The sequence below is a fragment of the Homo sapiens genome, chromosome 1 (assembly GCF_000001405.40).
Source record: "Homo sapiens chromosome 1, GRCh38.p14 Primary Assembly".
Taxonomy (NCBI): Eukaryota; Metazoa; Chordata; class Mammalia; order Primates; family Hominidae; genus Homo; species Homo sapiens.
Window position 1 is genome coordinate 98016323 of NC_000001.11, and position 24283 is coordinate 98040605.

Genomic DNA, 24283 nt, shown 5'->3' on the forward strand with positions numbered 1-24283 from the left:
ATATTTCAACAATGGAAATCGTTGAGCTTGCTAAAAGGCAAATTTAATCTTCACTTAGTCAAACAAAAAATATTCATTGAGTGCTTATTTATGCATGTCATGGGATTACAGAGATTAAAACAAAGCATTATTACAAATAAGTTTCCTTCCAGAGATACTCCGCTCCCTCTTGATTTAAAGATCTCTGTATCTGATCATATATGTGATTGTCTGACTAGATTCTTTTCACCCCACGCTTTTTATGGTGACTATTATTTTTTTAAAAAAACAAGGCTGGCCCCAGTGGAGCATCCCTCTAATCCCAGTACTTTGGGGAGGCCAAGGCAGGAGGATCACTTGAGCTTAGGAGTTTGAGACCAGCCTAGGCAACATGGTGAAACTTTGTCTCTACAAAAAATACAAAAATTAGCTGGGCATGGTGGTGCATGCCTGTAGTTCCAACTACTTGGGGGGAAGAGACGGAAGGATAGCTTGGGCCAGGGAGGTTGAGGCTGCAGTGAGCCATGACCACACCACTGCACTCCAGCCTGGGTGACAAAGGGAGACCCTGTCTCAAAAATAAAATCAAACAAGCAAAACAACAACAACAACAACAACAAGTGTTTGCAAAAGTGTGGAGAAACTAGAACTCTTGTATACTGTTGGTAGGAATGCAAAATGGTGCAGCTGCCATGGAAAACAGTATGAAGGTGTTCCTCAAAGAAATTAAAAATAGAACTAATATATGATCCAGCAATTCCACTTCTGGAAATTTATCAAAAACAGTTGAAATCAGGTTCTTGAAGAGGTATGAGCACTTCCATGTTCATTGCAGATTTATTCAAAAACCCAAGATATGGAAACAACTCAAGTGTCCATCAATAGATGAATGGATAGAGAATATGGGGTATATATATGTTCAAGGGGAATATTAGCCTTAAAAAAGAAGGAAATCATGAAATATGTGACAACATGGATGAACTTCAAGGATATAAAGTGAATAACAATATCAAGTGAATAAAGTTGCTAATCAATGGGCTAAAGTTTCAGTTATGCAAGATGAATCCATTCTGGAGACCTATTGCACAACATTGTGCCTATAGCTAACAATACTGTATTATACACTGAAAAATTTGTAAGAGTTATATCTTACATTGTGTTTGTACCATAACAAAATGAAAGATAATAGATGTATATGTGTGTATTTATGTATGTATACAATGTGGATTATTTTTTAAAAATACCCAAAAGCTATTTTCTTCTGCTTTTGAAAAAAAGTTTCATTATTAGAAATAATTGGTCATTTATTTTAAATTAACACTATAGCAAAAGGGGGAAAAGTTTTTTTAATACTAGAAATCTGAAAGATTTATTGAACTTGAATTACTCTGACCAAGTATGTAATTGTAACAATTTGGGAAATGTTTCAAAATTTGAATATAAATTTTACAGTTTTTCACACTATATCTACATAAAACCAGCAGATGTTGGCTGTGTGTGTTTGTGTTTATATACTTTACAAATAAATACTTAGCATTTATATAGCACCTTACAGAGCAGTCAAGCATCATAAAGTCATTCATTTTATCATTAAAGGAAATAGATGTCAAGAATAACTTAGAGTATATTTTTTATGTCATCAAAAGTCTAATTCTATAAAAGCTTGCAATAGAGAAGTGGGAGGGAAAAGGCTGCTCAGAGAAGCAGTCTTTAGGTTTTCATAAGTTAGGGAAGTGTGACTGTTACTTACAGTTAACATAGAACATATAAGAATTTTCTCCCCTATGTGATCTTGGAGAATATTGTTTCCATGAATAATAGAAGCTTAGAAAAAGAAAGAGAAAAGTCCCTAAACACACCCATTATCTGACTTTACATGCTAAGAACAAATTTGACTGTCGGTTTATGAGGCAAGAGTCAGATCTAAGACCTCTGCCCCAACTGTACTCAGGATGTCAATTGTCAACATACACATAGTCACAAGTCGAGAAGTGGAGTACCACAGACCTTAGCATCTGCATGCAAAGTAGCTAGATATGACACAAAAGTGGTTTCTTTCTTGGTTTTTCAGCTGGTAAAGGTAGATTTTATAAATTAAAAAGCACATCCCTTCATGGTTGTAGTAGACTTTTTTTAGTTCATCAGTGTAATAATATCTCCCTATCATAAAATATTAATTTTATTCAATCCAATTCATATGTGCTTTTCTCATTCATAGCTGGAATTCAGCTCTCCAGGTGGAAAGAGTTAATATTTGAATAAGTGATTCCACCCATTTAAACATGAAGAAGTTGTCTTAATCTCTACATTTTCATGGTTGCCAATATTTTGATTAATTTCCATGACTTCTATTGACTCTGATGCTTGAATAGGTTCTCCAGATCTGTAATATAAGTTATTCATATAGACCTAGAAATTATCAGTATATCTCCTGTGAAGAAATACTTCATGTGAATGTTAAAATACCTTAGGAATGTGGCTGGTCGTGGTGGCTCATGCCTGTAATCCAAGCACTTTGGGAGGCCAAGACAGGCAGATCACCTGAGGTCAGGAGTTTGAGACCATCCTGGCCAACATGGTGAAACCCCATCTTTCCTAAAAATACAAAAAATTGGCTGGGCGTGGTAGTGGGCACCTGTGGTCCCAGCTACTCGGGAGGCTGAGGCAGGAGAATTGCTTGAACCCAGGAGAGGGAGGTTGCAGTGAGCCAAGATCACACCACTGCTCTCCAACCTGGGCGACAGAGTGAGACTCTGTCTCAAAAAAATAAAAAATAAAAAAATAAAAAAGCAAACAAAAAACAAACAAAACAAAACAAAAAATAAACAAAAATAAAACACCATAGGAATTTATTGATCAGTTTATGAGTTAAAATAACACTAAAGTTAACTTTCTTGAAAGAACAATATGATTTACATATGCCAGGAACTCTAGACACATTAATTTTTTTACCAAACTCTTAGGAGAAATCAGTTGTATAAAATTTCATACAGAAGTAACTAAATCTTAATGTTAGTTACCAAAAAGCAGACATGACTCCTTTTAAATGTGCTTTCTTCATTTTGAAAAATAATTAGCACTAGAATGTTTTAGGTGGATTATTCCAAAGGAAGCAGTATAGCATGGTGATGAAGTTCAAAAAGTGCTCTTCAGTCAGATTGCTTTTTGCAAAGCCATGCTCTGACAATTCTAATGTTTTCTCTTGGGACTGTTTTCTATATATCAAATGGAAAAAAATAATAATGCCAATCTCACAGAGTGGATTGAGAATTAAACACTCCATTTAAGCTGAGCATTGTGCCTGGCACATGGAAAATGCTCCATACATTTTTGACATTAGAATAATAACACCATTAAAATCGAGGTAGTCGTAGTATAAAAATAAATTAGACTTTATCACTTTGGGGTTTCAAATTTTTACTTACAATTGGTTTGGGGTGTTTGCTTTAAGAAATGTTGACAGTATGTGTGTGGGAGAGCATATTTCTGACTTCTTTCTTTCCTGTAAAGTTAAATGTGGGATTTCAGTTGTTTGCATAGCATTCGAACAATCATTTATACATGTTTCTAAGATACTATCTCTGAAAATTACCTCTAGAAGCTTCCTATCTGTTTCCTGTAGCTTGTAGTCTACACCAATGTAGATGAGATAAGTGTAGTATTGCATGCTAACATATTCTGCAAAAGACAGCATGGGTTTACAAAGTTTCATTGACTCAATTATTATTGGAGTTATCTCTACATATCATTTATAGTAAGCATTCCAAGCAGCTTCGTCATAAAATTCTTAGTAGGAAGAAGTAACTAACATAGATAAGGAAAAATCAAATGCTCCTATATCTTTTTTTTTTTTTAGACAGAGTCTTGCTCTGTCACCCAGGCTGGAGCATAGTGGCATGATCTCAGGTCACTGCAACCTCCACCTCCCGAGTTCAAGCGATTCTCCTGCCTCAGCCTCCCAAGTAGCTGGGACCACAGGTGTCCGTCACCACACCTGGCTAATTTTTTTGTATTTTTAGTAGAGACGGGAGTTTCAGCATGTTGGCCAGGCTGGTCTCAAACTCATGACTTCAGGTGATCCGTCTGCCTTGGCCTCCCAAAGTGCTGGGATTACAGGCTTGAGCCATTGCACCCGGCCTGTATCTTGTCTTTACGCATACATTTATTTCATATCTACTTCAGAGGTCTGCTGTCTTAGCTGAGGTTTCTAATATTTGCATGGGGTGCACAATTAGTAAAGTTGGTACTGATATATGTTTCAGAGGTTAAAATCATGCAAGAATATATCTTTATAGAGTCCCCTGTTTTGCTGGAGCCTGCCCAAGACTTTTTGTAATAAGTAGCAAATAAATAATTTGCTATATTTTACAGAGACCCCATTCTGCAAAAAAACCCATGAAAAACAAAACAAAACAAAATCTTGCCTATAGCATCTATGAGATTAGGATGTTTCTTAGTGATAGAAATAAGTGAGTGTTACATAATACTATAATCCAAATAATTCTAAATAGTGGACTTTTCAACAAATTTTGTGTTTTAGGTTGCTTTATTCCATTGAAAAATTTAAAAGTAACCATGATCTCAAATATTCTAATGTTGTGAGATTTACATTACAATTTAGAGTGTTTGCATTTTTATTAACTTTGACTTAAGAAAAATAAATTCAGTTGAAATTAACTCAATATGTTTCAAATATTTTCTAAATTACTTTTATTTTACTATTTCATGAATTATACTTTTTTAAGTTTTAGGACATTGTTGTGATTATAATATTCTAAAGTAAATTATTTTAGAAAACAGAGAACTTAACAAAATTTAAGTCAGCTACCTCCTGTCAGTTAACACAGTAGCTCTTAGTACCCTAAGATATCCCCTCTTTTGTTCTCTTAAGAAATAGGTGTCCCTCAAATATCTGCATTTATCTCTGTCCATATGGTTTTGAACAAGTGGTGAAAGTATTCACTATTTGCTGTGTACCCACACTTGTATAGTTCAGCTGGAATACCATCTGGTGTGGTACTCTTCCCATTTTCCTCATTTTGATTGCTTTCTCAATCTGGAAAATGGTAGCTTGATCGTCCAACGGGTCTCCAGATGGCTGCTGGATCATTCTATGTAGTATCCATCAACAACATTTGATGGGTTATTTAAAGTTCATCCAAGGTATTTGCAAGTTCATTATTCGGTCATAAAATATCAGAAATTTCAATTGGGGAAATAACATAATCTCAGATTTCAGGAATGAAATCTTTTGGATTAGTTTGAGGAAAGAAATAAGAAAACACATTTATATCTTTCTAAGAAGCAGATGGCTACTCTTACAGTGTTAGTTATCCAAAATTGTTTCTATTTTTACCCTTCTATATTGGCTAAGATGACATTTTAGCGGAAACAGCATCCTTGCATACAGACCATCTTTGTTCCTTGAAGGACAACTGTTGAAATTAAAAAGCATATGAGATTAAATTTCTGCAGAAAAATGAGGCAGACCAACATGGCTATAAGGATCAATTAGTGTAAATTGAATAAGATCATAATGACACCACAAGATAGATGTGATCTGAGGCAACAGTGTATAGATGTAAGACAATGGTGATGTATATCCTTATGTGAATATATAAAGCATGCTTAAAGGAAATCATGGTTTATCACCCTCTTTTTTTTGCCTCCCTACCAAAGCATGCCAAACTTTAATGAATTTTGGAGCACCAAAAATTTATAGTTTCTTAATGTATCATTTAACAGCCTCCATTTCTCCATGTTTTGGTAAATAGGATGAAAGAAAATCGTTTTTCCCCTCTACTCAGCTCCTGTTTTATGTGTAGCTGATTTTAATTTTATCTTGGTTACATTTCCTCATTTTCTCTTCTCATTGATTCATTTATCCTTTCATTTCACAGTTACCGAGTCTCTACCAGAGATTTAGAAGAGACCCTTTACAGTGTTAGTTATCCAAAATTGTGTATGCACGGAATTCTGCATGAAGAAGACATAGGTCTGGGAATCAATAATTACATTTGATGTCATAGGTACCATAAGGTCTTCATAAGGAAATATGAAACTATGGAAAGACCCCTAGTCTTCCAGGTGGGTTCCATGTCGATGACACCTTCATATTTTCCTCAGGTACTATCTGCATATAAAAATTTGCTTCATTTGATCTTTCACACAAGAATTACTAAGGTATATTCAATGACATCATTTGTTGTGTAAGTAGAAATACGTCTAGCTGGCTCAAAACCTTAACAGTAAACCTTAACTGAAACTGAAACATAATTTTCAACTTAGTTCATTTGTGTAATACCTGTATAAAGTGTATCTGAATGAATTGTTCCCTTCTTCTAAATACTATGTAAAAATGGAAGAGACATTCATGACTGTAATCTGGTGTCTATTCATTCTTTGGGCAAAGCTTTATTTTACGACCTCTAGCATGTGACCAGAATTTAGCTTTGTCTTTCAAGCTTTAGCCTTTAAGTTAAACTATTATTGCATGTCTTATTTTAGAAGCTTACTGAGAAATTCTTTTTATCTCCAACTTTTACAAAATCCTTGCTCTAGAATTTATCTTCTTCAAAGTGGATTTGGATTGTGTTACATCTATCTCAGAAGAGATGGTTTGGCTTCCTGTTAAGCTTTAAATTTATTTCAGAACTGATTGAAAATGATATTTAACTGATACTTGTGCTGTAGAGTAGTATTTGAGTGAGAATTAGAGGCCAGGCATGATACCTCATGCCTGGAATCCCAGCGCTGTTGGAGGCCAAGTCAGGAGGATTACTTATTCTCAAGAGTTGGAGGCTGCAGTGAACTATGATCACACCACTGCACTCCAGCCTGGAGGACAGAGTGAGACCTTGTCTCAATAAATAAATGAGAATTATACCTGTAGGAATCATTCTGAAGATTGAGTGGTACCCCCTCCAAGTACTAAGCTAAAGATTAATAGAATATACCAGTTTTAGTTTACATCTGGTAGCATTATCATTTAATCAGGAAATGCAAAGTTATTAAACTAATTCAATTTTTATTTAATTCTTGTCACTCAGTACCAGTCAATTAAGAATATTTGAATCAAATAAAATTTCAGAATGGCCAAAAAAAGACACATCCTTACATTATGTACATAAAATCACACAAAATTTCTTTTATTTTTTATTTGTTATGGAGTTATGTAAGTATATGATGCCATTATCATGAATTTTTGTGTCAATTGATCAAAGTATACTTTCATAAAAAAATCTAAAATGGCTTTAGAAAACATTCTTTAATTTATTTTTGCAATGTAAATATTTCAAGACAAAATAATGCACTCTCTAACTAGCACCTATGTATAACCCAATGATAGGATACTTCATTAAATCAGTCTTTGAGCTGATCCATGTACTTTTTTTTCTAAAATGATGAGTTCACATAAAAATAAGGTATTTTTGACAAATAACTTCTATTTTTTCTGACTTCCTCAAATATAGCATATATTTTGGAAATCCAACGCATTTATTGAGAATAAGAAGAAATAAATAAGAAACAGTTACTATGCTAAGGACAAAAAATCATCAGAATAAGATTCACACTGTATAAAAACACCTTGATCTTTCCCACATGCTATTACAAACACAGAAAGTTCAGAGATCATTGCTATAAGAGATTGAAGTTTCTTAAAAACATTATATCCAGTGAAGAATAATATTTTAAGTATTAAGTATTTTCCCCTCTGAAAGCTATTTTTAAAGAGTAATTTCTTTATTTTTCCAAATTACTACAGCTTTTCAAAAATGCCTGATATCTCTTTGGCAAATCTTTGCACAAAGAGTTTGAATTTTCCTGAGAATCATGCTCATTAATGAAACTGAAGGACAAAGCAGAGAATGTATTCATAAAATATTTTGATATGTTTCAATGTCTCTGTACTTGAAATTACCATGGCTTAGAACACTCTTCATCACGCATTAGTTTTATTTTTATCTTTTAGTATCTCAGAAAGATCCTCATTCTACCTTATCTAAATTGGCCTCCCTAATTTATCTCTATCTCCTTGGGTGTTAACTTCCTCTATGAAAGTTTTCTCTATTTGTAATCACTGATTCTCTTTATTGATTTGTTTTTGCATCTCTCTCATCATACTGTAAGCTTCATTTAGGTATCAACTTTGTCTTTTTTTTTTTTTAGCAACGCCATTCAGTGCCTTGCATAGTGCCCGGCAAATAGTAGAGCTCAATAAATAAATGTTCAATAAATAAATGAGTGAAATAAAACTTAACCATACTTTTTATTGCTTACTTGCTCACAATGGGCAAGTGACATATTCGTATATGTGTGGAAAAAATCCTATTTTCCAAGTGGGAGCAATTATTTATTATTATTTCAGATACAACAATTGTGAAATTTAGTCAATATTTACACAATAGCAGTATGAGAGCACAGAGTAGTAACTTTGGAAAGAAGTGATAATTCTTTCCACTTTGCCATCATTTACATTTTTGTCAACTTTAGAAAAGGAGAAAATGGTGAGAAAAATCTGTAAAAAGTTTACACACAAAAGAATATTTCAATGAAGGAAAATATGTCAGCTTACTATACCATATTTTGTTCTTTCAAAATATTACAAAATTGACATGGGACATAATGGTGTTTGATGTTCTAAGAAAAATACAATATGTTTAGGAGACTGTATATGTGATGTGGATGCATCACTATGAGAACTATATAAGGAACTGCTAACATTGCAAAAGCACAGATTTTCAGAATGGTACGTATATGTGCTTAAAATTGCTGGTGTGCTATACTTAATTTTTATTCTATTTTAAAGGGTCATTCATTTATCTTTTATAGACAATTTTCACAGCTTATCATGAATCCCTAGAGCTGCTATGATTAAGTCAATACATTTACATAAATAGTATGTAAATGTACTTAAGTATAGTGTTCTTGATATAGCCTAAGGTGTTTTATGTGAATATATCCAACATTTTGCTTTTTGAAGGAGAAAAATGTATTTTTATGCTTCATCACACATACAGTAAATATCCTTTATGCTTGTAGATTCCCACCTTGCTTCACATCATCCATTTAATTTTTTATATATGCAGCATAATAAATTCATGTTGCTAAATTCAAACTTTGTAAGAGTCTGACCCATTGTAAGTGAATTTCATATCTTTCTCTGTGCTTCACTGATCTGGTCAGAATATGGACTTCCTTTTATATTAATGAGGATTTTGTTCTGTGTTTGAAGCCATGAAATCGGATGAGAATGTGGGAAATACCAGAAAAATACTGTTCAGTGATACTGTTACTATGAATGCTTTAAAAAAGATTTTCTTTCTCAAAAAAATAATAAACTGCTTTGAGCTTTTTAAAAGTCACAGAAAGTTAAAGCTAGTTCTATGAACTAATTCTGTAGAGGAGGGAAATGAGGTACTAAGTGTTGAACCTATAGTCACATTTCAGCTAGTGGTAAAAGCAGGAATAGAACTCAAGTCTACTACTTCGCAAACTGATGTTTTTCTCAGACTCATCTCTGGGAACTCAGTTTTTAAACAAAATTTAGAAAATAATAATAATAATACCTCACATAAGATTGTTTTCAGGAGGAAATGAAACGAGATAATAGATACTATATACCATGCCTGCCCCATGGTAGGCATTCAATAAACTATAGCTGCTGTTATTACGATCATCTGCAATTGGCATTATTTTTATAGTTAATCATTACTACTACAAGCATGAATAATCTTACAGCACTTCAGTATGAGACAATCTCAGGATGGGTAGAGCTCGCCTATGATTGGAAGAATTCAGCACTGTTTTGGCAGACCCTGGCTGCACCCAGTTTAAAAGTAATTAGTCCTACTCAACCAGAGTAATCTGGAAATTGGCTCTCAAACCATATTTGCAATTTTATGTGAAAAGACATGATTCAATATACAGTAATGGTTAGGTACTTTCAGTGTTCAACCCTTAGGTCCTTGTGTAAAGAGGATTGTTGTCAAAATGGAACGAAGTTTTGCGTGCAAAATAATGGCAGGAGAAGCCCCTTAATCAGATTTACACAGAAAAGGAGGGGATTGTGACATCATGTGAATGCCAACAAGTAGATGCACTGAATGTGAAAATCAGTTATTTTTAATGTTAGTGTACATATTAGCATTAATAACTGGACATAGAGTTGTCCTTCCAGCCTCTGTGTTTCATAAAGGGAAAAAGAATTCAATGTTTGTCATGTTACATTTGAACAATATATTTACTTCAAATAAAGACATTAAAATACCTTGTAAATTAAGTGAGTTCCATAAGATATCCAGTGGTCAAGTAAATAATGGGAAAGTTAGTGATAAACTATAGGTGAGGAAGAAATATTTTCATGATAATAATCACTTTTGTAGTAACAATCATGATGGTAGTGACAAATGCTTGATAGGTCAAACCACATGTGTACTCAACTGATCCATGACTTCAGAGTTACTACTATCAGCAGGACTTTTACTGGAAAAAGAAAACTGTAATATCTCTAAGCTCAGTTTGTCATCTTTAAAATAAGTTGGATTTTACCAAATGACCACTTAAGTCTCTTCCACCACTAAACTCTCAAAACAATTATATTGCTGATTCAAAGATACCCGTTTAAAGATAGAGCCTTCATACATATGGACCCAGAATCTATCAGGACTGAGGATTGAGGGGAGATGTTCCACCCTGTGAGGTTCTATTATAATAGGTCAAATTGACACCCAGGAGTATTGGAGGATTTGGCAGTGAGCCCAGAGATACTGTTTCCATAATCACAACCTATTTTGTTCCTGACCCCCCAGGACAGCATAGACCTAGTTTTGACTTCAACAGGAAATCCCAAATTCAGAGCCTGAAGCAGAACTGCACTGTTTTGCAGAAATGGGAAATCAGTTGCAGTGTGCTGACCTATTCCCTTAGTGGAGGTGATATAAGTGGCATCACAAAATCAGCTTCCTTTTTTAATGCTCACATATCTTGACACTTATAGCTTATTACATCACATATTATCCTCCATCCAGATATTATCTGGAAGGTGGTCGAAGGTATTCCGTAGTCTTTCAGCCTCAGGATTCCAGGTTTTCAAAATTTTAAAGAGAAATCCATTCCAAATTTCCTTTGTTTAAACTATTCCAGAAACTGAAGTGCCTCTAAGTATAAATGACAGGATAATAGAACTTTAAGTCTTCCTTGCAGTGACTATTATGCTTTCATTTTGCACAGTAGAGCTCAAAATGCCTCACTTTATGCTGATGGTGAGCACTTTTAGAGTTTTTCATCTTCCTACAGTTAAAACATATGACAAAGTGGCCATTTGAAAAAGAAATGAAGGGGAAAAGTGAGCATGAAATTCACAGAAATTGAGACCATAATAAATACTAAGTAAGTACACTTCCATCTACATCTACTTGTAGATAAAATTTCAAATATGCTACACCAAGAGATTTGCATTGACAGATTACTTTTTGTTTAAAACTAGATACTCTGGGAAAAAACCAATATTCATAGTAAAGACAGATTGGAAATATAATAATCATCACAAATCAATGTAAATCAAATACATGTATGTATGTAAACATTTAATAATACATAAATAGTTCTGTAAAATATATAACTAAAGGAACTTAAATATTAAAAATTAATGTTTTTATTTCAAAATAATTTCTATATCCATTTGGGTCTGGACACAGAAAGCAAATTATTATGTATATAGCAAAATAAAAATAAAATAAAATAAATGCCCTTTCTGAATATGAACTTTAATCCTTAAATTAGTGTAATTTTATATTATAATAAAGGTAAAATAAAAATTTCATATAAATGTCCCTCTTATTAAAAAATGGAAAGAAATCAAAATGAAGCTAATTCTTTTAGAAAAAAATTATATAAACAATATAATAGATTTTTTTTTACCATAAGTGTACTTTCTACTGATAAACATGTAAAGTTAAACAGACAAAAATGAAAACAGTAATCATCATGTACCAAATATCATTTTGGGAAATCATATTAGAATTGTTTAAGGCAAACTACATTTTTAACTCTTGATTAAAAATAAATAGTGGCATCTTTGACATAAGTGGCCTAGTTTTTCAAATAAATTATTAAATATAATTAACAAGTGAAAGATTTTAAAAACGTTACATTTTAAAATGTATCTAAACACATATAACTAAAGAAATGGCATCTGTGTGAGAGATGAGGGATTCCATTTTAAAGATCAAGAAACCCACATCAACTAGGGTAAAAGCTAATGAATCAGTACAGAATTTAAAACTTGATTCAAAGTTTCTTTTAAGAAATGTATCACATAATGTCGAAATGATATAAATGATAATTCTTTATATTTTGTAATTGTTTCTACATCAGGCTAAGATGCTAAATCATCCTAAAGATTGGATATTTTGTAAGTGGTTATGTTATACTAAGAGATGTAAAAGCAAAAGCTTAATTATCATGTGATGATCTTTTATCATAGCTCAGTTTTGATTTGTAACATTTAATTTCGATTCATTTAGCTATAAAATATTTTATATTGTATTTTGATATCTTTTAAGCATTACAAACAGCATTAGTAATAGAAAGAGATTAAAGTTATTTGAATACCTGGCTTTATCATGATCTAGAAGTGCTTTGCGATTCGTTTTCCTGCTTTATTAACATTTATGGAATTCTTTGCACTAAAATGTCAGCCCCATAGTTTCATGAATCATTGCAAAAACATCAGGGAGTATCATTTATAATGTACAGCAATCCATTTTGATACATGAAAGTAGACCTGGTTGCAGTATGCCATTTTTGGATTCGATTTTCATGTAATTTGAGGTAAGTGCTAAATTATGATCTTGACTGATACTTACTAGTGAGCCAGTCGTGGCATTAAAGTCGATATGGATCAAAATGAAAGAACAGAAAAGAAAGGCATTAGAAATACTTTGATTTAATAAACAGGTTATACATAAAATTTTGTATTTTGGTATGCTAATTTTAATACCTGGACTTAATACCTGACCAAAGTGTACTTTCACTTTTATTTCCTTAGTAAGTCTTTCTTCAATTATCTTTTCCTGTATGGTCAAACATTCCAAGTTTTTTTAATGAAAATTTATATCATATAAATCTTATTTGAAAGTTTTAGAAGATGAAATATAATTCAGAATTCAGGAGAACTATGAACTCCTATGTCAAGTATCTAAAAATTAAAATAATTTTAACTTAATTATTTTATGAATATATAGATTTAGCATATAATTATAATTGCAACAGTTTTCTATTATAAATAGATATTCTGGTAATACTTCTTAACCTAATGCAATCCATCATGCATTTTTGAATGGTGATTTATTAAAAATATACTAAATATTGTCTTTTTTAAGTGTAAGATTTCACATACTACAAACTGCAAAACTTTACGTAAAAATTAGAGTTCAATAAGTATAAAAGAATACATTTTTAACTGAGTAATTTAGAATCTTTTCTATCATAAATCTACTTTTATAGGCATATTAAAAATCTAAATAGCAAAGGTAACACTCTGCAAATAAAATGGTTAAGAGATATGAATAAATCAACTGCGTAAAACATGTTGAGCTTTCCAGAAGAGAAATGTTAAACTGTTAATGTTTTATTGTGAATAACTAATAAGCTCACATCTGATAAGTTTTCCAGCTCTTAATATAATAACTTGTGTTATGGGATTATCAGTGATATAGGCCCACAACTAGACAAAAGATGTAGCCAAAAAAACAAATCTATAAATTCACTTGAGAAAGATCACAATGGGTTTTGTGATATTAAACAACTCTTTTCAAACTTTCCTTTATAAAATGTTTAAAATAACACTTGTTAATATAAAAAAGAATATGTAAACCATTAACAGCAAAACAATTACTGAGTACAATTAATCCATCATACAACTTAAGATAAACTAAAGATAAATAAACTGAAACATTTAATTACATTGCAAGAGACGAATAAGCTGGTTTTGACATTTCTGAATTTTAAGTATCTTCTCTGCCTAAATATAAGCTACTTGGTATTTTATTTGCATCTTTTTATACAGTTAAAACTCTCTTTGTTTAAGGGTTGAAGTAGTAACATTTAAATTAGTGTCTATTTAATTTAATAACTAAATCCATCAAACTATAGGCCTATTAAAACGATTTCATTTTCCTTGCTGGTTAATCTAAAGTGCTTAATCTTAAAATGTTAACTGTCAAAATAATAGACCTTTTTTCCCTCCATAAGAATAACTTGAATTTCTTACATATTTCCTGTCAATCATTCCATCTAAACTGGGTGTGCATAAATTGTTCCACCACTGTGACTCTCTCTTAAGTTTGTAAGTTTGGACAGTGTTACTCACCCCTACCACAAAAAGGAAATAAGATCATATTCTGAAATGGATTTACATTTCTATGCTTATAGTCAGAATGTATTTTTAGTGAGGGGAAGATCTGTTACACAGTCAAATAACTGTTTGAGAAAACAGAGTATTATGGAATACATCAATGTGTTAGGGATAGGAAGTAAAATACCACAGAATTTATTAATCAATGTTACACATACTTCTTCCTTAGGTGAATTTTTTGCTACTCAGGCCATTACCTTTTGTGTTCACATATTAGTAAAAGCTGCACTTTTACTTTTTTTTTTCTTTTTTGGAGCAAAAACTTTAATAGGCAAGAAAAAAGAAAGGAAGAAGAAAGCAGCTCCCTCGTACAGAGACGGGGGGGTGGATTTGAACAAAGAGAAAACCCCCCAAAGATGCACTTTTACTAAAAAATATTATCATTAATTCTTTGTTATATATCCTGGCATCCTATAATGTGTATGACTAAGTTCATGCATTGACATAAGCAAACACAGTGTTTCATTAATGAAAAGAAGACTTTGGACTGAGAAAAAGCCCACTGACATTGTCAGCCAGTTACTTCAGTGTTATATTCGAGGTGGTTTGATATTATTTTTTGTGTGTTAAACACAAAAGCCAAAATGTAAAAGTCACAGGACTACTTTAGGTCTTACAATCCAGAGTTACATGGTCTCAACAGTTGTTCTTTTCTATTTTAATTTAAAGCACTAAACAAGAAACTATTCACTAAGTTTTAGAGCTGCATTTTAAACAGGCCAGCCTTTGAATTTCTAATGTTTTTATGAAAGCTTCAATAAAAAGCTGTGGTTTGAAGTAAGAACATATTATAGTTTTGTAAGACAATTTCCAGTTGGTATAATGAGAACCCATATAATCTAATTGCTTAACCAGTAACATTCATTTTTACTATTATATAATCACCTATGTTCTAAGTAAATTTTTATTAAATACAGTTCCAATACAGATATTAGGAAACTTATTTTATGCTACTGTAATACTAGAACATTGTATAAGTGCTCAAATAGTTTTGTCAGGGCAATTCCCTTCCACGGGAATTTAAAAATTATTTGTGTCATAGATGAATGAGAAAACTTTAATAATAATCCATGAGACAATAACACATACACACACACACACACACACACACACACACACACACACACAAATGATCTAAAGGTCTTATTCAATATTGTATGCCTTTTATAAAATTAAGCTGATTCTCCTAGATTGTAAACTGGGATATAATTAAATACCAGAGTAAAAAATTGGGACAGCTACTGGAATTACAAAAATAATAATAAATTAAATAAAAGAATGGTTTAAGTCCTGGAAAAATTCAATCTAATGTTATAATTATAAAGATAGCAATGTGAGCATTATATAACACTAATAAGAATACTATGTAAGTTTTACATAAATAGAACTCAAAATAGGGGCTTAAAATATTTCCCAAATGTAGAATTTACCAGGTAAGTAAAGTGATAATTTTTAATTTAAGATATCTGGTTTAATTAATAATAATAACTTGTAACTTTAAATCTACAAGAGAGCCTAAAATGGGTCAGCACTGGATCAGTGTTGCATAGAACCTGACTTTAATTGTCATTTTAAAAAAATCAATAGAAAGCAGTGGTTCTCAAATTCTAGCAGGCATCAGAATTGGGCTTGTTGAGACTCAGATTAGGGTTCACAGTTTTTATTCAGTGGGCCTGTTATGTGGTCTGAGAACAGGCATTTTTAACAAGTTCCCAGGTGACACTCAGGCTACTGCTAAGAAGGCCCCATTTTGAGAACCACTTTCTGAAGTACAGCATAATGCGTTCAGCACTTTCTTTTATAAAGCCTATCATCACATTCTCAAAAGACACTTATTGACTCTGGAATCAAATATTAATGAATTTGGGAATTACATGCAAGCACTATCATTTTATAATCACTAAAACATATTTTCTGATAACTATGGATACACGAATAATTTGTCCTGGGATAATATAATCATGTTTCATTATAAATGGTATTATATAACTTATAATTGGTTATACAGTAACTATTGCTTTGATGTGAAAAAGTGAGTATGTTTTCCTTTTCCTAACTGGTGCTTCCTTAGTCTACTCAGTTCTGAAAGACTTTCCATACTTTAAAGGAAAAAAGAGAAGGCAAATCTACTTCTAGAAAGAACTTATTACTACATCTGTGACATGTAAGTATGTTCTGGTGAAGAGACAACAGTAAGGGCTTGTAGAAACAACCACTTTCATACAGTTTAATATTTAATATTAACAACATCCTAGTCTGCTCCTTGAAAGGAGGATGCTGCTTTACATTCCTTTGACTTCCCCACCAAGTCTCCAACAGCCTGAATTGTAAGAGGTCCCGTACATCATGGATGCTTCAAGGGCAAGGTCTGTTAATTATTCCTCAGTAGCCCCAGCAGTTAGAAGAATACCAGTTGCATAGTAGGTACTTAAGAAATGTTGACAGACCTGGACACAAACCTCATGAATAGTACATGCATAATGGATATTTAATGATTTACTCTGAAAGACATCCTAGTTCTTTTGAATATACAAGTTGCTTTTTCTCAGCAAGTTCATCCCTTGCTATAAAATAAAAGATGGGCTAGTGTAGGTGTTTGTATATTAAGGCAGATAACTTCACAAGTGTCCAACTGGCCTTATGCTACTAAGTTTGCCCACGTCTATGATACAGGAATTTTAATAAAAATGTTTTAACACTAAAACAAGTTTTATTGTGTACTTTTTAATAATTTAGATATGACTTTGTACACATAAAATATATTTTTAAAATATGCACATCATCATTGTTACTTGTAATATAAGCTATAGGTTTAATGAGAATAGAATGGTGGGAGACAAATTTTACTCTGTTATGGCTGTAAGAAGGAGCTTTATAACCCAGTACTAGGACTTCTGAGGCTTAAATCGACTTGTATATTGCCCCTAAAAATGTTTCTACTAATTTCTACTCCTAAAGTATATTAATTTAGATATTATCTTTGTTTTTTCATCAGCTCTGAGAATTGTATCCAAAAACATACGAGGGAATTAACTGCATCCATTCAGTGACAACTGCACCATTACAAAGAAAGGATAGGCATAAAACTCAATGACCAAAAAGCTATGAAGCAGTTCCCTCCTTCTCTCACTGACCGGTAACCCAAACACCCAGGAAAAAACAATTGCAGAATATAGGATATGTGACAGGGGTGAAATTGCAACAGCATCATAAGCCCAAATGTCTCGATAAAACTAAACTAATTTTTTCCTAATATAATATGAAAGACCACTAATGACAAAACACTTGAGTAATAGAAGTCATTCAGAGACTCAGAAAGAAAGAAAGAAAGAAAGAAAGAAAGAAAGAAAGAAAGAAAGAAAGAAAGAAAGAAAGAAAGAAAGAAAAAAAGAAAGAAAGAAAGAAAAGAGAAGAGAAGAAAGGAAGGGAGAAAGGGAGGCAAAAAAGGGGAAATAATAAGAGAAAAAAAAGAACAAAAAAAGAAAAAGTCCTACTGCTCTGCCTGTTTTTAATACTGACACCCCATAAACAAATCTGTCCCTGGGATATGATACAGAGGCCTGGAGTCTGTGACCTCCTTTCTGAATCTATCAGGAGACACAGCCCACACCAAAACACCAGGAGTGTTGCTTCTGCCAAATATCCTTTACTAACTTCAAAGAAAGAACGGGGAAAGAGCTGTAATAATGCTTAACACGAAATACTGCCTTTCTGCTTCCTTTCCTTTCCCCATAGACTGAATGAACTGTCATTATAAGACAACATACTGCTGAGTTAATGTAACTTAAAAATTTACAGCAGGTTGTATGCCTGGAGGCACATTATGGGGCCACCTGTAGGCATCTAATTCCAGTGAAAATAATAAATAATTGTGGAGCATTCCTCAGAGTCTAGAGAGAGTGGATAAGAATCGTGTTGCTTGTTCACTCCAACATGGATTCTGTTGTGGAGGAGGATTAGAGAACTGAACTCTCTCCAACAAATGAGTAATCCTTCTCCCCACAAAAGAGTCCGCTAAATGCTACACCAGACACCTGGGTGCCAGATCTACACAGCCATTTTTGTGCACTTCTGATAATCCACCTGCAGAAATTGCCACTTGGCAATTGCTTAATATAGCACGTTGATCCATTTGAGGACTTTTTTTAAACAGTAAAGAAAGCTATTTTGTTTGTCTCTCTGTATGCTGTTTATCTTTTTGAAACTCCTCCTCACATTTTGGCAAAGATAGTGACAGTAAGAATATCTGTGATATGCCTCCAATCACTTATTTGGGAGAAATTAGTATGTGTATTTTAGCAATGCTCAGCAACCTTGACCTTTTTTTCACTGGAAAGAAAAATAAATTTACTACAGAGCTGCTTTTTTTTTTTAAAAAAAGAAAAAAGAAAGAAAAGGCCAAAGGATTTGTTATCGTGCTTTTGCCACAAGGTAGGTGGGTTAGTATTTATCCTGTGACTACTCAGAGTATGCATGTTGTTTATTTTAGATAAGATAAAATATTCTAAGATAGAGAAATTTTACATATATGTGTGTCTATACATATATAACATGAACTTTTATTAAGCAGGTTTCAAAAGATAGTCTAATTTTTGTTCAGTTGGGTTATAAATTACTTATAAACTTTACTAATGTAGTCCTCATCTTACAGCCACTGCAAATACGGTTTGGGTTTAAAATCTATGACAACCTTTGATCATAACAATCACATGGTTTGGAATTAAGAAAACTAGATTGAAATGATCATGTAAGTAAGTAGTGAAGATTGGATGCTCGGTGGTATTCAGGTTCACATTTCCTTTCCATTTGTACTACACGAAGGGTTAATAAGGTTTGCATAACCTTATTCTTTGAAGGCTTTTTGGCAGAGGCAGACTATTTAAGGATTGCTGCCAAAACAGATTTTAACCCTTTTAATCATACTGTTAATAACCACATTGTGCACGGTACAGAGCATACTGCACATAAGGCAATATCACTCTGAACACAGTTTGACCTGATACCCAATCAAGGAAAGGTTCCTAGAGACGCTTGCCATTTTGGTTGCTATGGTGAGTTTCATATTTTGTGGAAACCACTGCTAGATGTCTTAAAATAGAACTTTGTCAAGAAAAACATTGGTCCAGTGGCATATGCTGGCAGAGCCTACCAAGGTTGCTCAAATTCCCTTCCTTTGTTTTTCACTCTCCCCACTGGGGCAACTGTTCCAAGCATCAGCCCACTAGTCTGGCAGGCAGAGAATCCAGAAACTTGCTGCTAATTACAATGTTGACAATTCCCAACCTGTTTACTGGCGCCAGCAATCAAACCGCATCCTCTCGAGTGAACCAAAAAGCACTTGCTGGCTTTAGCTTCCTGAGGTTCCAAGCTGGCTATATTAATTACTGTTAACTTAAAACTGTATGTTGTACAGAAGAAGCTTAATTAGCTGGTATGAGGATTAATATCTATCCTTTACACAATTTAAAACATTTTGTTCTTGGCCAAATTATGTGAATCCATAAAATATTTTTCTTTGGACAAAATATTGATTATTTTAGGTGTGGCTTCTCAGTGCCAATTTTTCCACTGGATTATTTTCAGTTGAGCAAGACAATAGATTTTAAAAAGTTAGTCTGTCTGTCTATCTACCTACCTATCTTGGGATTATATCTACAACCTTTTTAAAAAACTTTAGAAAGAGAATGAACATAGTTATTTACAGTTATTGTTTATAATTAATAAAATAGGAAAACCTATTAAATGGGATTAAATGGTCAAAAGGATATCAACTTTCTATCTTGATGAATTTAAAACAAAGATAGTTACACCATTTTTCTAGTGAACCCTCAATGCTATGATAGAGGAATGATTTGGTAGTCATATGGCACATAATGGTGTATGTATCAATGACAGGCTAGATATACAATGGTGATCCCATAAACTTGTAATACTGTATTCCTACTATACCTTTTCTATATTTAGAGTGTTTAGATTCACAAATACTTACCATTGTGTTACAATGGGCTACATTATTCAGTATAGTAACATGTGGCTGTACAGGTTTCCAGCCTAAGAGCAGTAGGCTGCCATACAGTCTAGGTGTATAGTAGGCTATACCATATAGGTTTCTGTAAGTACATTCTAGGTTGTTACTACAATGCCAAAATTGCCTAAGGATGTGTTTCTCAGAATGTATCCTTGTTGTTAAGCAACATATGTACGAGGAGCATGCTTCACGATTGATAAGTTGGTTGAACCCACAGTGCAAAATCACCTTCTCAAACCCCTAAATTGTTAGCATTGCAAGTAACCCAGATGTGGCAGTGGCAGACCACAATGCAATTTTCATAAATAGCACAACAGAAGTGAACAGGGTTCAATTGCAAAATTGAGAATTTTACTTTGATTCTGCCCTAATCCAAGAGCTGATCTGTCCCTGTTTATTTAACAAGATATCTTTGAACATTTAAAAAGTGAAGTAAAAGTAAATATAATTTTAAATTGTATATTAAAATGTGATTTTATTTCTGTTATTTGGTATGAGAACATCATGGGGTCACTATTATTTAACAATGTCACTTTAAATTTTTCATTGAATACACTGCATTACAAATGTTTTTGAATCCAATCTTTTAGTCAACATTTGCATTTGGAAGCTTATTAAACTGAGTTGATGTAATTGTGATTAACATTTCCCTTGTTTTACTGAAATATTTTCAACTAGGGTAAAAGGTCAAATTATTCCTTTAATTATGATTCATCTTCTGTTTCTACATTAAGATAGCCTATACCATTTTCCAAGATTTAAAAAATCATTAGTACAAGCACACTAGAGACCTTTGGAATCTGTTGATACATTCACATCTATATATACAATATAAGAATTTTTGAAAAGTTTAGATTACTTGGGTAAAATATCACTGAATAGTATGAAAAATATAAGAATTATTCTCAGATAATAGGAAGAGTAATGTGAGAAAAACTTCAACATTTAGTGAAGTTTTAGTGTGATGTATTAGAAAGAAAACACCCAACAAGGACTTAGAAAATGGGTTCCAAATATTATCTGGGTGTCCATGGAGAAGTTATTTGGATTCTCTGTGTTGTGAGGACTTCATATGGGAAACATGGGAATTGTATTACATACCAAAGAACTAGATCTGAGATAGAAATTTATAATGACAACTAACTATCATATGAGTTTACTATGAGCTTATCAAAGACTTTTGAAATTTTGTATTCCATGTGGTTATAGGAATGGAAAATAGTCATATTAAAGGCAAACCAATGATCAGGTGGAAATGTTACGTATTTGGAAATAAAGGCCAAGTTAGACAAGGACAAATGTGTCAATCTTCTCTATCTTTATCATGGTTAACTAACAAATAGATTTCCTCTCTAAAATCTAAATCAATTAAGTGAATAGGAAAAACTAAACTCTTGGTATCAGTATTTTATATCAGGAAATACTGTCTTAACAAATCCTCCTAGGTTACTTTACTTCTAGAGCATAAATTCAAGTATCACACATATGTTTTCTAATAGAAAAACTGTTAAAAAGGCTGTCTCTTTTAAGCCATATCCCCCTAGGCTCAATTTTCAGAAGTCTGTCTTTTCAGACTGATGTTCTTTCTTTTATTTGAGAAACATCCAGATTTCTTGCCTTTCTCAATTTTCTACAGATAAGCTAGGCTTACTTTATTCAGAGTTTATTGCTATTTTAATTGATTCAAATTTCTGTATCAGAGCATGACTTTGAAAGCAAGAACTCTGGGATACACTTGTCACTCATACTGTGAAAGAATCCTTCTACACAGATAAACTATATACAATCAATATTGAACACTACCCATCACAACAGGGTAAACGGTACCATATAAAGAACAAGACCTCTTCTAATGTTTCCTAAGATTTATATTTTTTCAAGGTGTACTGGTCCCAGCCACCAGGAATTTCATTATTGTTACTTTAATACATCACCAAAATCTGCACATTCTTCACTCCAGTCCACATCATTAACATTGTTACTTGCTATCATTGTCCCTTTTCTCTTGTCAAATTCAATTGTTATCTACACAAATCACCAAATGTAAATGTGAAACCGCCTCAAAAGTTTAATGTCACTCACTATTTTTAATAAACATAGCATTCACAACTAACAAAAACCTGCTTGTTTGTGATAAAGAATCTCCTTATTTTGACTCTGTTCTAATATATAATATTAAAACAATTTCAAAGCTGTTTTATGGACAACTACATCCAACAACAAAAAGGAACATGAGATATTTTAATAAAAGTGTGAATAAATGGCTTCCAAACCTCACACTCCTACCCCCAGATATATATTTGAAGGCAATTACTTTTGAAAGATTTGTAGAATTTTTATTGAACTTATTCTCAAAGTTTTTATTTTTTAATTAATTTTTCCTCCTTAAATCTCTATTCTTTTTATGCTTGCTTCCATTTAGCACACAAATCAGAGTCAAAGTTTTCAATGGACATAATGTTTTATACCCATAATTAAACTGAGAATGGATAGTATGTAAACTATCTGAATAAAGCAATAGCTGATAAACCATATTATTTTAATTTTTAGAGGATGGGTGTATTATTTTGTGATCAAAAAGTCAATTTATATTTACTATAAATTGAACCTCCCAGAGAGTCACACCTTTCAAATAAAATTGTAACTTAGTCTGTTTTCCTAGTAAATAATTTTTTAAAACTAAAAAACTTACACAGATCTTTAGCTTTGAAAGTATGCCTATCATAGTAATTATTATATTGCACAATGTGCATTTCTATTGATTACTTCTTAAAACTTTATAAATTCTTACAAATATTTATACATTTAATATTAAATAAATACATTAGGTAACATTCACATGGACTAAAATTTTCTATTTCAATAGTAGATTGAACAGATTCTTGGAGTTTCAAAAAGAATATCAGCTTGAAAGCAATGTTCCCATGGATTTTTCCGTTATTTAAAAGTTATATCAAATAATCAGAGAGAATGTATTTTCCTTCTTGGCAAAGAATAACTGCACTATTAGTAAACAATTAAAGAATTAAATTTTATGTTAACATTAAATTAAACAAATATATGCTGTATAACAATCATTTTATATAATAGTGACTTTAAATAATTATGAAAAAATGTAAAATTTATATTCACGTATGCCCCAAAAGGATATCACTGCTTTCACAAAATTCATAAATATTTTGAGCACCTACTATGTGCCAAACACTGGACTAGGTATTTTAAAAGATTAACCATTTTAGAAGAATTAAATATCCTCGACAATTATTGGTCCTTTTAACAGAATGGAAAAAAAAACCAGTAATTTTCATGCCGTTCCAAATATTGTAATTGAATTTAATAGCATAAACATTTACACAAGGAGTAAACATTTTTAGAGGCCAAGTGTTCATGTTCATTCTTTATCCACTACAATCATATACATCAACTTTGAATGGAGTTGTTTGTGATTTGGCCTCATTAGGCTAAAATGCTTATGAAGATAGATCTGCGGTTTGAGTAGCTTCAAATTTATTATACAGATGTACATATACGTGTACTCCCATGCTAACACATTAGAATGAATCTGTAAAGCATTCTTTTGGGGCTTTTTTCCCTACTAAAACTTCAAATAAAAAATGAAGCATGAAAAAGCAACAAATATTTCCATGTGTTTCATGCTTTAAGAATTTAAGTAAAAATCTTAAGGACCATTTTATTATTTAATACTAAGACAAAATGTTGGTGAATACTTTTTAAAAGCTTCTGTCTTAGTTGTGATATCAGTTGGCCCACCATCTTTACATGAAATGAAGTGTAGAATTCATACAAAAAAAAAAAAAGGCTTTCTTTGAAATGGAATCCTAAAGAGGTAAAAAGGC

At 32.3% G+C, this 24283-nt stretch overlaps 1 long non-coding RNA gene across 1 annotated transcript in view; it reads right to left on the reverse strand.

The window, feature by feature from the left end:
• The window catches only part of MIR137HG (MIR137 host gene), a 61694-nt gene that overhangs the window by 28323 nt on the left and 9088 nt on the right, over positions 1-24283 (reverse strand). The window lies entirely within an intron of this gene.